We start from the raw sequence: 18,747 nt of genomic DNA, 5'->3' as shown, positions 1-18,747 counted from the left end.
CCCTTTCTCTCTTCCAGCCCTCTTGAAATGATCCACCTTTCTCAACTTAGTTACATTTGAGCTTTAAGGTCAAAGACACTTCACTCCACAAAAAGGCAGGCCAGGCACAATGATTCACACCTGTAATCCCAGCACTTTTGGGAGACCAAGGCAGGAGGATTGCGTGAGATCAGGAATTCAAAACCAGCCTCAGTGACATAGCAAGACTTCATCTCTACAAAAAATTTAAAAACGTGGCGAGTATGGTGGCACACGCCTGTAGTCTCAACTACGCAGGAGTACCTGTAGTCCCAGCTACTGAGGAGGCTGAGGCCGGAGGACAGCTTGAGCTCAGGAGTTTGAGATTACAGTGAACTATGATCACATCCCCACCCTCCAACCTGGGCAACAGAATGAGACCCTGTCTAAAAAAAGAAAAAAAAAAAAATGCAACATACCATTACAAAAAGGGGTTGTGTCTAACATTAGACCTGCGTGCCTGTGCTGGACAAGGGTCCACAGAATGAACAAATGCTTACTTTTACATCTGTGCCCATGAACAGTGACTTTCAGGAAGTACCCACCTCACTGTACACATTTCAGGGGCTAAGTAGGAAAGGACACCAGGCCCAAATGCGACCACCAGTTAGAGCGAGGTCTAACTATCAGTTTAACAGGGAACAGGCTCCACAGATGAGCTGTTCCACCATGACCCATCCATTATTCTCATTCCTCCCCACCCGCCAGCTACCAGAACAAATGAAATCTACCAAAATAATACAAATGTGTGAAGATAGGAAAGGACTAAAGATAGCATGAGTGTGACACATCTCACACTTTTCCCTACTTCAATGGGGATAATTATTTTTCCCTAGTTATTTCGATGTACACAGTCTGGGGGGCTATTCATCTTCAAATCTTGCTGAACATCTATGATTTCCTATAATAAACAATGCAACTGAATCCCAATTTTTCAAAATAACTGTGGATTCTCTAAGTTCATGAAAATAAAAACTTATCTAGCTCTTCCTCTATCATCTTTCTGTCCAGGCTCTGAGAGCAAAGCAAAAAATTACACTTTGGGGAGCCTACCTAGAATAAACAAATCTAAGATGTACATTAAAAAGATATGATGTCACATGGTCCTAAAGCCATCCTTTCTAAACTGACCATATCTTGGAAGGCACGTGAAAGAAAAGCATCTATGCAGGGCAAAATGCATGACGGTGAAATTGAGACAGAGATCCAAGCAGAGAGTTCACACGAGCATCTCCAAAAACCACAGAAATAGAGACATAGCCTCTAAACTCTAGGCACAGCCACTGGAAATGCGAGCACAATTAGCTTCCTAAGACCTTCCCTTCTCAACCATCTCACATGCAACAGCCCCATCTGATTTTACCCAATATTGGACACTCATTTCTGGTACCTGACTGACAGTTAAGAACCCACGTTGCCCAGGACTCCGGTCATGCCATACTGATTCCGGGTTCTTTGCGGCTAAGGGTAGCAAGGGAAAAATCAATTCTCAATACTTCTAATTTTGTTTTGTGTTTCTTGAAAACCAAATGAGCAAAATTGTGTTTACCAATGAAAATCTGAAGGTCAAGGATTAAGTCCTTTTACTTTACTGGAAATCAGAGCTGCCTCGTCCTACCAGGGACACCCTTTTCAATTATTAGAGCTCTGTAAGAAATGCCCCAAATTTACTCATTGATCAAATATGTATGGAGCACCTATGTGTTCCAAGCCCTACAGACCCAGATGCAAACAAAATAGACAAATATCTCTTGCATAGTAACCACTCGCTTGTTACTATTAATAGTAATGCAAAGGCAAAGGCAGCTGCAGCTCTTAATCAGTTCAATAAAATTAAAAAAAAAAAAACAGAGAATGAGGGAAAAGCCACATTTAGGCAAATATTAACAACTGGTTGTTCAAGGTAAAAGTGTGCATGGGTGTTTGCTGTACTAATACTGCAACTTTTCTATAGGTTTGAAATTTTTTAAAATAAAAATACTAAGAGAAAAAGGTAGGGTTACAAGTATAAAATGTATTTCAAGCAGCCAAGTAGCTGGTAAGAGTTCATTACAGAAGAATTTCTGTTAATAAATGGAAATTAGACAGTCATCACTTGACAACCTTTAATGAAATCATGGCTCTAGCAACTATGAGCAATGGATGCTACAACCATGAGAGGGGAGTCTGATGGGCGCTATAAAGTGGAGACTCACACAGCCCTGCCCCCACTGGTCAATCACAGGCTGAAAGTGGAATGACCGGACACCTGTGCCTTCTCATACCTGTGCCTTCAAGGCAATACAGTGGGATGTACACGGCATCACCTACAAAGTATTCCTGCCAAAACTGGGCCTAAATGGAACTCCCAGTTAGAGCTACACCTAACTATCAGTTTAACAGGGAATATGAGGGACAGAGAAACAAGTTAAACACCATGACTAGGAAGCAACAGACCACATCCAGAATGTGGGAAATTCTACAGGACAAGTTTCTTTAAAAAAGGAAATCATCATGGCCACCTGGGCAACACAGCAAGACCTTGTCTCTCCAAAAAATTTTTAAACATTTAGCCAGGCATGGTGGCGTGCACCTGTCCTAGCTAATCGGGAGGCTGGGGCAGGAGTATCACTTGAGCCTAGGAGTTCAAGGTTGCAGTGAGCTATGATCGTGCCACTGCACTCTAGCCTGAGCAACAGAGCAAGATCCTGTTTCTAAAAAAGAAGGAGGGAGGGAGGGACAGAGGGAGGGAAGGAAGGAAGGGAGGGAGGAAGAGAAGATCAATGGCATTGGGAAAACATAGGGGGGTGGTGATTGTTGCAGAATAAAATAGAGACTATAGAAATATAACAACTAGGCCAGGCATGGTGGCTCACGCCTGTAATCCCAGCACTTTGGGAGGCCGAGACAGGAGGATCACCTGAGGTCAGGAGTTCAAGACCAGCTTGGCCAGCATGGCAAAACCTTGTCTCTACTAAAAATACAAAAATAAGCCAGGTGTGGTGGCGCGCGCCTGTAGTTTCAGCTACTTGGGAGGCTGAGGTGGGAGAATTGCTTGAACCTGGGTGGCGGAGACTCAGTGAGCCGAGATCACACCACTGCATTATAGGCTGGGCAAGAGAGTGAGACTCCACCAAAAAAAAAAAAAAAAAGAAAGACAGAAAGAACGAAAGAACAAAAGAACAAACGAACGAACAAACAAACAAAAAAAAGGAAGGAAGGAAAGAAGGAAGGAAGGAAGGAAGGAAATGGCTAAATACAATATATGGACCTTGATTTGTTCTGTTTACAATCCACCTATAAAACACATTTTTGAGACAATGGAAGTAACTCAATATGACCTGGATATCAGATGACATTAAGGAATTATTAATTTTGATATGCATCCTAATGTCATGATGGTTAACAAACAAAAACAGTCCTTATCAATTAATAAAAATTATCTCCAGCAGCAGCAGGAAAGGTATGAGGAAGGGAATCAATTGCATTATTTATTATTTATATATCGTCAAGCTTTTCTACTCATCCTTGGCCTCATATAGGATAAAGCGTGTTCACATCCATAGGTATATCTTCTTGAGACTAAATAACTGTGTGCCCTTATATATGTCTGACATAGTACTTCCCTGTCTTTTTCAAGACATGAAGCAATTAAAAATAACACACAAATGGGTGGACAGATGAGACTTCTCATGGCCACAGGTGACCAGCCTAGGGGCCTTGGCTAGGTCTACCCCACAGGCAGGGTGTGCCCACATCATGGCACACTGGCACCCACAGTGCAGCACATGGCACACCAGCTGGGCAGCTCCAGCTAACCTTCCCTCTGTGACACCTTTCTGGGAAATTGACTTCTATGGGGATGGACAGCCTATAACAGAGCCGGTTTAAAAGGACAGAACGTATGTTTGCAACTGTGCTTACAGATCTAGGAGCCCTCTGGCTCCATGAGTTTTTGCTTTTCACACTTTTTAGCCTAATAGGAATCAACTACTTGCTGCTAAAGGGAAGCAAAAAGATTCTGGTATGGCAATGACATAAAGGGAGAGGACAGAAGCCCTTTAGTATCCTTGGAACATCAATGCCATTAAAAAAGAGAGAGAGAGAAAGAGAGAAGGAGGAGGGAAGGGGGATAACCTCGGGACCAGCACACAGCAGTTCTACCGCCATCTTAATGTCCTTGATGCGTGCAGATGGTGTGGAAGTGGCTGGCACCAGAACAGCCCATGAGAAGGAATGAGCAGCCAATGGAGATTTATGTGAGGAGAGTGAGATGGACAAGGTAAAATTGTCAGGAGGAGTTGTTAGAAAGTAAAATATATTGTGACAATTCCACTCCTGCCGTTCATCAATAAACTGACAGATCATTTAGTGTCAATTAGGAGTGATAGATGGACAAGTCCCCATGATCCTGGGCCAAAATTAATGGCTGGGAGGGAGAGGGTGATTGAAAATGACGGCTGACATTGAGAGCAAAGTCCTGAAAGTCCCTGAGGGGCCATTACTTGCCTCATTCCCTTGCAGATCAATGCAGGGACAAACCCAAAAACAGACACTTTGAGACAAAACTTAATCAAACTACCTTTCCTTCCTCTCTTTACCAAGTTGGCTTTCTCTCTTCAGCTCTATTCCCCATGGCGAAGTCAGTGACCCACCATAAGTGTCCTACCTCGGGCAACTTCAGAGCCAAGGACAGCTCCAAGATGGAATCTCTGGCATAGCTATGACTCTGACGCCAAGGGGAAGGGACTGGTAGTGATCCCAGGCCCCAGGCAATTCCTGAACTTGGCCCTTTCTGTGGCTCAAGGATGAGCAATGGAGCCCTGGCACCCAACATATCTAGCCAGTGAGGTGGCTGACACATGTTCTGTTCTCTATCCTGGGCAGTGTTATGCAAATAAAGCCAAGGTATCCCAGAAACTCATATTCCTTAGCTATGAGCTCCTCAATCAGATTCATAAACAGCCCTTCTACTTCTCACTGGTGACACTTTCCTCCTACCTTCTTTGCACAGGGATACCTAGCTTATTGAACAGAATCTACCCAACAGAGTTGGTGTAATGCACATATAAGGTGCTGCTACGGACTGAATATTTGTGTCTCCCCAAAATTCTTATGTTGAAATCCTAATCCCCAATGGGATGGTGGTTGGAGGTGGGACTTTCAGAGCTGATTAGGTTTAGATGAGATTATGAGGGTGGAGCCCTCATGATGGGGACAAGGAAGAGACATAAAATCTCACTCCTTACATGCACATACCAAGAAAAGACACTTAAGGACGTAACTAGGAAAATGGTCCTCACCAAGAACCCAACCACAATGGCACCCTGATCTCAGATTTCCAGCCTCCAGAATCATGAGAAATAAAGGTTTGTTGTTTAAACCTCCCCATATACGGTAACTTGTTATAGCAGCCAAATTAAGACAAGTATCTAGCACAATGCCATTGTTATTATCACCCAAAAAGAATTTAAGGTGAATACGCTATTTTCCGGGGTCAATTCTCTGCTGTAACTAGACTGACAATAAAGTTACTATCACTCTCACAACACCAGATCTTAAACCAAAATGCCTTCTTCATGATCCTGTTCTGACCATCAAAATTCATCCAGCTTGACTCCTATCTCCGCTATAAGACACTCCCTGACCATAATGATTACTCTCTCTTCTGATATCCCATCACCAGTGTTACTCATTCATTTGTTCCTCACTTACTATGTGCACCTTCTGCCAATATGCTCCTTTTGCCATTCCTGATTTTTGTGGATGAAAATGTCTCCTAAATTAGAATTTGAGCTCTTGCGGGACAGGAAGTATATCTTCCACTCTGGTACTCACTAGAGTATCCAGCAAATGGTAGGAGCTCATGTTTCCAACCTTAATGAGGTAGGTCCTCAAAGCTCGAAAGTTGCCTCTCTTACCCCTCATCAGCCTCTTTTTCTGTTTTAAATCTGCTCTACTTGACTTCAAGATGCCACTCTCCTTTGCCTCAACAATCTCAACAGTCAGTCTGTCTTCCCACTTTGAAGAATGGAAAAAAAAAGAAGCCAAACCAAAAGGAAATTCTCTAAAGTCCCCATTCCCCTCAACCCTCCTCAATAACTTACCCAGCCTTTCCAAGCTCCGTCTGTTTTGGAGGAAAACTATCCGCCCTACTTCCTCCTGTCCAAGGTCAATCAATCTCTCCTGGAAGGTCTTATTCTATCCCTCCAGTATCCTGCTACATCAGTTAACCCCCTACTTCATTTCTAATTACTCTTTCCTCGAATATTGCAGACATGATTCTTAATCTAGACTCTTCTTCCAAATACTGTTCCATCCCTTTCCTTTTTTCATAGTATCCTATATTACTGGCCACTTCCTCATGTCCCACTTCCTCTTCAGTCTACTGCAATCTGGCTGGGGCTCCAATGCAAATGACTGTAACCACTTTCTCAAAGGCCCCTTGTAACCTCCAAATAGCCAAATCCAATGATCTGTCCTTGTCTTCTCCTACTTTTGTAGATGACTCAAAGTGCATCTCTTTTTTGACCTCACTTTTAGACTCTTGAGCTATGGAAATTACCCACATGTCCCACCATCAGCTCCTAAATCAGGTCCCTCCTGCCTTCCCTCTCTTATAGCACCATGACCCAACCAGACACCTAAGTGGGGCTCCTTGCAGTGACCTTCAACTCCTCCCTCTGCCGCACATCCAACCACTGGTATTTCTATTAACTCTACCTCCAAAATGTCTCCACATCATCTTTCCTTTCCATCCTCACAACATGGCCCTGGTTTAGGCTCTTATCCCAACAGGTCTTCCAGCCTTTCAGCTCTCCACCTTCCACACCGAAAGTAAAGTGACCGTTTAAAAATACTGATCTGATCATTCATATGTTCAATAAATAGTCACCGAGTGCTTATTATGGACTAGGCACTGTGCAGGAGACTGGGGGTATGTAAATAAGAGAGTGTGTCTCCTCTCATAGAGCTTACATTGCAGCAGATAGAAAAAGAGAATATGTATGCATGCATGTGGATATGTCAGGTGGCAGTAAATAAAGCAGGCAATGGGGACCACAGAGCGATGAGGGGTGCTACTTTATGTAAAGTGAGGTAAGGTAGGACCTTGTAAGCCATGGTAAGGACTTTGGGTTTTACTTTGACTGGTTGGCATGCTACTGCAGGGTTCTGAGTATACAAGTAAAAGGTTTGCACTGATGTTTTAAAAGAGTCACTCTGGTTATGCAGAGATAACACAGAGGGAGCCTCGTCAGGAAGTTCTCACTTGAGCCAGTGCAAGAAATGATGGTGGCTGCAGCCAGGTGCTGGCAGTTCAGACAACAGATGTATTTCAACAGTAGACCTAACAGGGTTTGCTGGCAGACTGAATAGGGTGATATAAAGAGAGGAGGCCAGGATAATTCCAAAGTTTACAATCTGAGCAATTAGGAAGATAAGAGTCACCACTTACCGAGATCTAGGGATGACTTTGGAGGCACGATTAGGGGAGGGGGTAGAAGGGGTTGAAATTAGAAGACTAATTTGGATGTGTCAGGTTTGTGTTGCATATTCCAGTTGAAAACATCAAGCAGGCAAATGGCTGTCCAGGAGGAGAACTGGGCTGGAAATATAAACATAAATTCTGGAGTCATCACTGCGTAGACGATAGTCAAACCTGAGACTGGGTTGAGATCATGCAGAAAGTGAGTGTTGACAGAGAAGAGAGAAGGTTAGAGGAAGAGCCCTGGGCACTCCAACATTTCGAGGGGTCAGAACCAGGCCACAGACTGAAAAGCCAAGCAAGTGAATACCTCAGAAAGTAACAGGTGACAAGGAAAAGCTTCTTTCTCCAAGAGGAAATGGATTTGATCTGGAAAAATCTTTAATATTTTCACTGAGGAATGAATACTTGTGATAATCTTTTGTTCTCTAAGAAGCAGACAGGATTTGTCTTATTTTCTTATTTCAAAATAAATTCCAGATATGACAAGTACTAAAATCCCCTAATAATTTAGGAAAACAAAGCTCCTCCATAAGATTCACATTAGTAGATGAGACCTGCATTTCTGCGTCACCTTCTTGTTTTCGCTTAACACTAAAAATGATTGTTATGGTCTATAAGTAAAACAGCATGCTACATAATAGCCTAGGAATAGAGACACCACTGGCACAGAATAACGCATCCAAAAGCAGACTCGGGTAAGTACAAAGATTTAGAATACGATAAAGGTGGCTTCTCAAATCACTAGAGAAAGATGGATTTTTAAATAAGTGGTGCTGGGACAATAGCCATTTAGAAAAAAGTAAAACCATACACCAAAATAAATTCCACGTGGATCAGCAATCTCAATTTTTAAAATGAAAGGGTGTGGCTGTATTCCAATAAAACTTTATAAAAATAGGCAGCTGGCCTGTGGGCCATAGTTCACTGACACCTAGGATATAGAAACAAAGGAGGAGAAATATAAAAACTTATATATACATATATAATTTATATATGTATATTATATAAATTATATAATTTTTATGTATGTATATATAATTATATATATATACACATATGTTTACTTTTCCAAAAAGAAGTATAGGAAAGATAAACCAGAAACTAATAAAGAAACTGCCTATATGGGATGGACGGGAATGAGGTGGAGAGGATGATAAGGATGGGAGTGAGACATCACTGAATACATCTTTCTATACAATTTTAACTATTGATTGGTGTAAATGTTCTACATATTCAAAAGTAAATTGAATAAAAAGGATTTTTAAAAACCTTAAAATTGAACACAGACAGAAACAAGTGAATGTAATTGTGTATTAAATTGATATCTTAACCTGTATGAGAAATAATTCAAATAACTTCCGAAAACAGTATCCTGAACCTTAGTGTGATATATTCTAAGGACAAAAAGAACCACAAAGAAATCTTGAGTTTTACTTAGGAAGTTTGTTTTTGATAATGACATTAGTATAGTAACTGTAAAACTACTTTATGTGTGTTACAGGATAGAGCGTATTTTTTAAAATGTGTTTCCTAGTTCTACCTACTAAAAGAGCCTAGAAGCAAAGATATCCAATAGCAATGGGCAGTGTGTATATAGACCGTGAATTCTATAACTATTCTCCACCAAAAGGACCCAGGAGTCCTTGGAGAAGTAGCTGACTCCTGGACTAAACATGGAAAATACAAATTTATTCTGGAATATCTTGCTGCGTTGAAAAGCAAGCACGTACTCTAATACTAATAAAGCACAAAAGCATAAGAGCCATCTCAAAGTTCTCCCTGGCCAAACATGGGACAATCTGAGCACTAATAATCATTAGTATTATAGAAAAAAAAACTGTGATGATGGAAATGAATTATAACACAATGAACAATACAAATCCATGAGTCCAGCTGGGTGCAATAGTTCATGGCTATAATCTCAGCACTTGGGGAGGCCAAAGTAGGACGATTGCCAGGAGTTTGAGACCAGCCTCAGCAACACAGTGAGACCACAGCTCTACAAAAATAAGAATTTAAAAAAATTAGCCAGGCATTGTGGTGCATGCCTGCAGTCCTAGCTACTGGGGAGGCTGAAGCAGGAGAATCACTTGAGCCCAGGAGTCTGGGTTACAGTGAACTATGATTGCACCACTGCACTCCAGCCTGGGCAACAGAGAAAGATCCTGTCTCAAATAAAATAAAATAAAATAAAATAAAATAAAATAAAATAAAATAAAAATAAAAATAAAAAAAGTACAAAAATAGGCACAGAGGCCAATGGAACAGAACAGAATATCTAGAACTAGAACAGCATACCTTCAACCAACCAATCTGTGGCAAAGTCAACAAAAATAAGCAACAGGGAAAGGACATCCTATTCAATAAATGGTGCTGGGAAAACTAGCTAACCATATGTAAAAGAATGAAACTGGACCCCTTCCTATCACTATATAAGAAAAATTAACTCAAGATGGATCAACGACTTAAATGTAAGATCTCGAACTATAAAAATCCTAGAAGAAAGCCTAGGAAATATCCTTCTGGATGTCAGCTTTGGCAAAGAATTTATAACCAAGTCCTCAAAAGCAACTGTGACAAAAGGAAAAATTGACAAGTGGGATCTAATTAAATTAACAAGCTTCTGCACAGCAAGAGAAACTATCAACAGGGTAAACAAATAACCTAAGAATGGGAGAAAATTTTTGCAAACTATGCATCTGACAAAGGACTAATATCCAAAATCTATAAGGAAGTTAAACAAATCAACAAGAAAAAAATAACCCCATTAAAAAGTGGGCAAAGGCCATGAACAGACACTTCTCAAAAGAAGACATACAAGCAGCCAACAAACATATGAATAAATGCTTAACATCACTATCAGAGAAATGCAAATTGAAGCCACAATGAGATACCATCTCATACCTGTCAGAATGGCTATTGTTAAAAAGTCAAAAAATAACAGATGTTGGTGAGGCTTCTGAAAAAAAGGAATGCTTACACACTGTTGGTGGGAATGTAAATTAGTTTAGCCACTGTGGAAAGCAGTTTGGAGATTTCTCAAAGAACTGAAAATAGAACTACCATTTGACCCGGCAATCCCATCACTGGGTGGTATATACATACCCAAAGGAAAATAAATCATTCTATCAAAAAGACACTTGCAAACGTATATTCATTGTAGCACTGTTCACAAGAGGAAAGACATGGAATCAAACTAGGTGTCCATCAATGGTGGACTGGATGAAGAAAATGTGATATATATATATACCATAGAATACTATGCAACCATTTAAAAGAATGAAATCAAATCCTTTGCAGCAATATGGATATAGCTGGAGGCCATTATCCTAAGCAAACAAATGCAGAAACAGAAAACCAAATATTAGAGGTCTCACTTATAAGTAGGAGCTAAATCCTGGGCACATATAGACATAGAGGAGGGAACAACAGACAATGGGGACTCCAAAAGGGGTTGCGGGCGAGGACTGAAAAGCTTCCTATTGGGTACTGTGCTCACTGTCTGAGTGACAGGATCAATAGAAGCTCAAACCTCAGCATCATGCAACATACCCCTGTAACAAACCTGCGCATATATCTCCTGAATCTAAAATAAAACAGATTTTTTTAAAATCCATGAGTCCATGATTTTAAAGACAGAAAGCAATAGAAAAAGAAAAAGGAGAGAGAGTAAATTCTTCTTTATAGGAAAACTCCAAGCAATTAATATAGAATGGTAGAATTAGAGAGTTAAAATTTTGCAATCCCTGATATAATAACTGATTCAGGCAAGGATCCATTAATGGACGCTAAAACCAGGTGAAAGACTGTGGGTGAACAGGATTCAAAGCGGTACCCCAATTACTAATTATTTATAAAGGAAAAAAAGAACCTTTGCAATGGAGAGATCTAGTGGTCACCACCTAGACCAAGTGATAAAACTTTGTAATGCCAACCAAGGGATCAGCTGATGTCACATGCCTCCTAATTTGATAAGCTAAGGACACATGATCACCTGTTCTGGTCAACAACCTTTAACTTGAATCTTATCATGAAGAATCAGTTAGAGAAACCCAGAATGTGAGACATTCTACAACACAACTGGCCTGGATTCCTCAAAATAGTCAATGTCTTGGTGGGGAATGGGGAAAGGTGAGGACTAGTTTACATCAAGAGAGACTAAAAAGACAACTACGAAACACAATATTTGAGCTGATTGGATCCTGGAGTTATAAAAGACATCTGGGGGAACAACAAAGGGGAATATTCAAATATAAACTATATATTAAATATTATTAAACCACTATGAAATGTCTTAGGTATGAGTGACTGAGTGATACTGTGATACTGTAGAGAATGTCATGAATCTTTTTTTTTTTTTTTTTTGAGACAGTCTCACTCTGTTGCCCAGGCTGGAGCGCAGTGGCACAATCTCGGCTCACTGCAAGCTCCACTTCCCGGGTTCACACCATTCTCCTGCCTCAGCCTCCCGAGTAGCTGGGACTACAGGCACCCGCCACCACACCTAGCTAATTTTTTGCATTTTTAGTAGAGACGGGGTTTCACTGTGTTAGCCAGGATGGTCTCGATCTCCTGACCTCGTGATCCACCCGCCTCGGCCTCCCAAAGTGCGTGAGCCACTGCGCCCGGCCGAGAATGTCATTAATCTTGAGAGATGCATGCTAAAGTATTTAGGGGTGAAATGTCATGACATCTACAACTTATTTTCAGGTTTGGGAAAAAGTGTGTGTGTGGGGGGTGTTGGGGAAGGGGGAGGGAGAAAAAAGTGGGAGGAGAGGGTGGAAAAAATTGGAAGTAAATATTTTTAATAATGGTATTTTGGTTTTTTTTAATTTAACTTTTAAGTTCAGGTGTACATGTGCAGGTTTGTTATACAGGTAAACTTGTGTCACAGGGGTTTGTTGTACAAATTATTTCATCACCCTGACATTAAGCCTAGTACCCAGTAGTTATTTTTCCTGATCCTTTCCGACCTCCCACCCTCCACCTTTCAAAAGGCCCCAATGTGTGTTGTTCTCCTCTATGTGTCCATGGGTTCTCATCATTTAGCTTCCACTTATAAGTGAGAACATACAGTGTTTGGTTTTCTGTTCCTACATTAGTTTGCTAAGGATAGTGGCCTGCAGCTCCATCCATGTTCCTGCAAAGGACATGATCTTGTTCTTTTTTTTGGCTACATACTATTCCATGGTGTATATGTACAACATTTTCTTTACCCAGTCTACCATTGATGAACATTAAGGTTGATTCCATGTCTTTGCTATTGCAAATAGTGCTGCAATGAACATACACATACATGTATCTTTATAATAAAATGATATATTATTTTGGGTATATACCCAGTAATGGGATTGCTGGGTGAAATGGTATTTCTGTCTCTAGGTCTTTGAAGAATCACCACACTGTCTTCCACAATGACTGAACTAATTTACACTCACGCTAACACTGTATAATCGTTCCTTTTTCTCCGCAACCTCACCAGCATCTGTTATTTTTTGACTTTTTTTTTTTTTTTTTTTGAGTTTCACTCTTGTTGCCCAGGCTGGAGTGCAATGGCACAATCTCAGCTCACTGCAACCTCTGCCTCCCAGGTTCAAGCAATTCTACTGCCTTGGTCTCCTGAGTAGCTGGGATTACAGACACGTGCCACCATGCCCCACTAATTTCGTATTTTTAGTAGAGATGGGGATTCTCCATGTCGGTCAGGCTGGTCTCAAACTCCCGACCTCAGGTGATTCACCCACCTTGGCCTCCCAAAGTGCTGGGATTACAGGCGTGAGCCACCACACCTGGCCGTATTTTTTGACTTTTTAATAACTGCCATTCTGACTGGTGCAAGATGGTATCTCATTGTGGTTTTGATTTGCATTTCTCTAATGATCAGTGATGTTGAGCTTGTTGGCTGCATGTATGTCTTTCTTTTACAAAGTGTTTGTTCATCCTTTGCCCATTTTTTAGTGGGATTTTTTTTTCTTGTAAATTTAAGTTCTTTATAGATGCTAGATACTACACTTTTGTCAGATGCATAGTTTGCAAAAGTTTTCTCCCATTCTCTAGGTTGTCTGCTCACTCTGTTGACAGTTTCCTTTGCTGTGCAGAAGTGCTTTACTTTAATTAGATCCCATTTGTCAATTTTTGCTTTTGTTACGATTGCTTTTGGTGTCTTCATCATGAAATCTTTGCCCAATCCTATGTCCAGAATGGTATTGCCTAGGTTGTCTTCCAGAGTTTTTATATTTTTGGGTTTTACATTTAAGTCTTTTATCCATATTGAGTTAATTTTTGTACATAGTGTAAAGAAAGGGTCCAGTTTCAATCTTCTGCTTATGACTAGCCAGTTATCTCAACACCATTTATTGAATAAGGAATCCTTCCCCCATTGCTTGTTTTTGTCAGGTTTGAAGATAGTTGCAGGTATATGGTCTTATTTCTGGGTTCTCTATTCTGTTCTATTGGTCTATGTGTCTCTTTTTGTACCAGTACCATGCCGTTTTGGTTACTGTAGCCCTGTAGTATAGTTTGAAGTTGGGTAGTGTGATGCCTCCAGGTTTTTTTGTTTTTGTTTTAGTTTGCTTAGGATTGCCTTGGCTATTTGGGCCCTTTTTTGTTCCATATAAATTTTAAAATAGTTTTTTCTAGTTCTGTGAAGAATGTCAATGGTAGTTTAATAGAAATAGCGTTGAATCTATAAGTTGCTTTTGCCTGTATGGTCATTTTAACAATATTGAGTCTTCATGAATGGACTCAATATTGAGTCCATGAAAATGGACTATTCCTCCATTTGTTTGTATCATCTCTGACTTCTTTGAAAAGTGTTTTGTAGTTCTCCTCATAGAGATCTTTCAAGATATGCCATTTTGAAGGCAACAACTGCTCAAGGAAATTCTAAACTAGAATAATGACTATTCTTTGAGAAACTATTCCTGTGTATATCTTAAGTAGTTAAATTCGATCACTGGCCATCCCACTGGTATATATATTTTTTTTATCTTTCATCTAAGACTTGGTGCAAGAGATTAAGGAATGAAATGATTTGTAATCCAGTCTTTAGAACTGGACTCTGAACTAAAATAAAAGACATTAAGCACTTGCTCCTTCTGACTTACAGGCATCTATGACTCCACTTATTTCATCCATAAAATGAGACCAAAGGTAAAGGCTAGCAAAATGTCTCAGTCTTATTATCATATTCTCTGTCAGGCTGGCCTAGAATAACTATATTTAAGCAATGAATCAAACTTCAAGAATCACAAAGACTAACTATAATCAAAGCCTGTTTAAAGCATCTGGAAGGTGCTGACAGCTACAGAGGCTAACAAATGTGGCTGAAGGTGACAGCCAGCACCATCCTACTATAGATGCCATTTACAGAACACGTGTTACCTAACACTTTGTTTTAGAACCATAAAACTCAGAGAGACCTGCCTTATTACTTTACTCCTTATGCACTGTTGTTATTCATAACTTAATTGCAGCAACAAGCTATGTACTAGCTTTATGCTGAGTACTCTTCCTATGTGTTCAAGACTCAGAACAATTCTTTGCAATAGGCGTTATTATTGCCACTTTACAGGGTTAAGTAACTTCCCCAGGTTTACATAGCCAGTTAAATGCTGAAATCTGAATTCAAACCCTGGTATGTCTGAATCAGACACCCATGGTTTTAATCTTATTGTGATGTTGCTTCCTGTAAGTAAAACAAGAGATGACTTAATTACCACACCTTAGCATGAAAATTCTGCCAGTTTAAGCATGGAAGAAATGCGAGAGAGTATGTCGTAGGAAGAAGTCTGAGGAATACTTTCTCCTTATTTAAAACAAGGTAATTCTGAAACCATCCCTGAGATGTGGATGCTTATCCTGGATGGCCGAAGATCTCACAGAGATTTCTGTTCTAGGTCATGTGCATTCCCAGATGCTGGCAGAAATCCAAGGGGATATCAATCATTGATTATGTCTAATTCAAACTTGTCCAACTTGCCTTATTTTGTTGTTGTTCTGCTTTGTTTTATTTTAGGCTTTTAGCAGCCTGAACCCGTAGTTTTTAGTTTCTGTCTCTAGTGATAAGCAGAAAAGAGGAATGAAGAAGGGGTTTTACTGGCCCAACCAGAAACAGAAACTAAGAATCTGTGTCTGTATTCTCTCTCTTGAACACCCCTGGCTAATTCTTAACATCATAAGGTTTAAAAAATACTTCTGATACTACAGCTTTGGAAAGCTGACATTCCTATGCTTAAGGCTTTAATGTAGTTCACAATTAAAGAAGATTCTTCATAATCAAAATAACCATTGCTTTTCTTGATCTGGAATTACTTCTCCCAAACCGACCCTTCATATGAAGCATTTATGGCACCATAAAGATCCCAAAGCTCCTGCAACTCACAAACATCACCACCTGCCAGAATGCCTGTGAGAAGAATATGGTCAAAGCCTATCTATGAGGACAGAATGGGGATAAGAAACAGTCATCATCATCATGATAATAGCCAACATCTACAAGTGCTTCCTAAATGCATCTCTCTTCTAAATATTTTACACATACGAATTCATTTAATCCTCACAATGATCCTTTCAAGTAAGAACTATTTTTAACCCCATTGTAGAGATACAGAAATGGAGACCAGAGATATTAAATTACTTGCTTGGGGTCTCTGAGATAATAAATGGCACAGTTAGGATTCAAAGCCAGGCAGCTGGCTCCAGTACCTGCGGCTGTCACCACACTCTGCCGCCCCTCAATATGGAACCACAGGGATCAGCATCTAGTCTAAGCTGTGGAAAGGCTGGGAGGGCTAAACACAACAGCAACATTCCTGTTACATATGTAATTTCCTTCAGTCTTTGAATCACCCTGTAGGGATCATCAATGTGTCCATCCAGGTGCTCAGCCATGGTAAACATCTTACCCAACATCATCCAGCTCAGAGAGAATGGCATCTGCCATCTACAGCCCCACACTGAACACTATGCAGTTTATAAAGTGCTGCTACATGCACTGTGACATCAGGTTTCCCAGCCTTCCCAGGAGCTCTGGAGAGGCTGATGAGATAATGTCAGATGGTTATGGTATAAATATTCATGCCAGCTTACAGTAAACACAAGATACCAACTAGGCAGGGTGATGGGACATCTGTATTGTTCCCCTTTATGAATGATGACTGATATATGTCAGGGGAGGACATGCCGCACAGTTCATCAGCAGTTACCAACAGGCAATTCCATTATGTTTTGGAAATTAAGAAGAACACAGAATGCTACAACATGGATAAACTTTGAAAACATTATGACAAGTGAGAGAAGCCAGCCATAAAGGACCACATAATGTAGATTGTATTTACATGAAATGTCCAGAATATGCAAATCAGAGAGAGAGAAAGTTGACTGGTAACCACCTAGATCTAGAGAGGTTGGGGGGACATGGGAAGTGGCTGCTAATAGATACAGGGTTTCTTTTGGTGGGGAGGTGATGAAAATGTTGTAAAATTGATTGTGTTAATGGTTGCACAACTCTGTGAATATATTAAGAATGATTAAATTGTGCATTTTAAGTGGGTGAATTGTATGGTATATAAATTTTTTCTCAATAAAGCTATTGTAAAAAATAAAACAACACAGGAGCAAAGTCCCCCCAACCGTGTGCACCCCCACCCATACTCTTATGAGCTGCTGGTACTCACTTCGAAGCCTTCACGGAATCACCTGCCCAGCCTCCCTGTCGGCAGCGAGGTAATTTAGCAGAGGAAGTCTACAAGGAAAGAGAAGTCAAAAGAACACATTCACTCAACATTTGCATTTATTTTATTTTTTATTTTCTATTTTTTGAGATGAAATCTCACTCTGTCACCCAGGCTGGAGTGCAGTGGTGCGACCTCAGCTCACTGGAACCTCCGCCTCCTGGGTTCAAGCGATTCTCCTGCCTTAGCCTCCTGAGTAGCTGGGATTATAGGCGCCCACCACCACGCACAGCTAATTTTTGTATTTTTAGTAGAGACAGGGTTTCACCATGTTGGCCAGGCTGGTCTCAAACTCCTGACCTCAAGTGATCCGCCCACCTGGGCCTCCCAAAGTGCTGGGATTACAGGCGTGAGCCACCGCGCCCAACCAACATTTGTGTTTAAACACCACAATGGCTGAGGGTAAGGTCACCTACACCAATCAATATTCAGCCTACCTTTTGAATAAAAATACAGTAACCTTTGTAATTTACTATGAAAATCTGGGTTCCTTCATACCCTCCCGGTGAGTCATAAATTGGCACCATGTTTCTGGAGGGCTATTTGGTAAAGTTTATTGAAAGCCTTAAAAATGCTCATACTTTTTAACCTAGCAATTCTAATCCTAGAAATTGATCCCAAGGGAAAAATCAGAGAGGAATATAATGTTATTTTTGAGTAGTGAATAGCTAGAAACAACCAAAATTGCTAGCAATAAGGAATTAAGTAAATGGTAAAATACACATGAAAATACTATGCAAATAACAAAAAGCCATGTTATAAGAAAACCCAATGATATAAGAAAGTTTGATACATTTTAAGTTTCAAAAACATGTTACCAAACAGTAAGTATATGCTTTTGATGCATTTTTTGAAATGATTATCAACATATACTATTTAGTGTTAATGAGTTATATGTACATGACTGACAGGGGACTCCATTATAGGCAATTTTAATTTTCCTTTCCTCTTCTGCTTTTTATAAACCGAAAAGTAATAAAATAAAGATATAAGAGTGAGACTTGCTTAGAAGAGATAAACTAAATTGGTGGGTGGATTAAAAATCTACTCAAGAGGCCTACACCAACCCCTGCCACTGCTGCCAGTGACCGAGTACAGTGTCTAAGAGGCTTGGGGATTGACTTGCCTCCAACCCCCACCACCACTAGCACCCATGTATGCCATCTAGGGGCCTGAGGATAGGCTGACCCCACCCACCACCACCACTGCCAGCACACACATGACCCAGGGGCATAGGATGGATCCACCCTGCCCACCACCACTGGTGCACATTTTCTGGGGTCTAAAGGACCGTTCTGCCCTGTCTGCCACCCATGCATAGTCTGCGAGCCTGGGAATAGGCCTACCCTGCCTGCCACCAGTGTCCATGTATGTCTCCCAAAAGCCTGATGGCCAGTCTACCCAGCTTGCAGCCACCACCCACCCACATGCACTACCTGGGGACTGGCTCACCTGGCCCACCACTGCCACCCCCGGCACCTGAGCAAGGCACTGGAGGCCTAAGGACTGACCTGCCCAGATCCACCA

General features: G+C 40.8%; 1 protein-coding gene across 5 annotated transcripts in view; it reads right to left on the bottom strand.

The window, feature by feature from the left end:
* Positions 1 to 18,747, bottom strand: part of IFT43 (intraflagellar transport 43) — a 98,311-nt gene that overhangs the window by 44,516 nt on the left and 35,048 nt on the right. For all 5 annotated transcript variants that reach the window (NR_045665.2, NR_045664.2, NM_001102564.3 and 2 more), the window contains exon 3: positions 17,164 to 17,231. Coding sequence is in view for 3 of the 5 variants with exons in the window: in NM_001102564.3 (NP_001096034.1) it covers positions 17,164 to 17,231 (68 nt within the window). In the remaining 2 variants the exon portion in view is untranslated. The remainder of the gene's footprint in view (positions 1 to 17,163; positions 17,232 to 18,747) is intronic.

The sequence above is a fragment of the Homo sapiens genome, chromosome 14, assembly GCF_000001405.40.
Source record: "Homo sapiens chromosome 14, GRCh38.p14 Primary Assembly".
NCBI classification, from domain to species: Eukaryota; Metazoa; Chordata; class Mammalia; order Primates; family Hominidae; genus Homo; species Homo sapiens.
The sequence above is the reverse complement of the archived record's forward strand: the minus strand, read 5'-3'. Positions and strand labels throughout refer to the sequence as shown.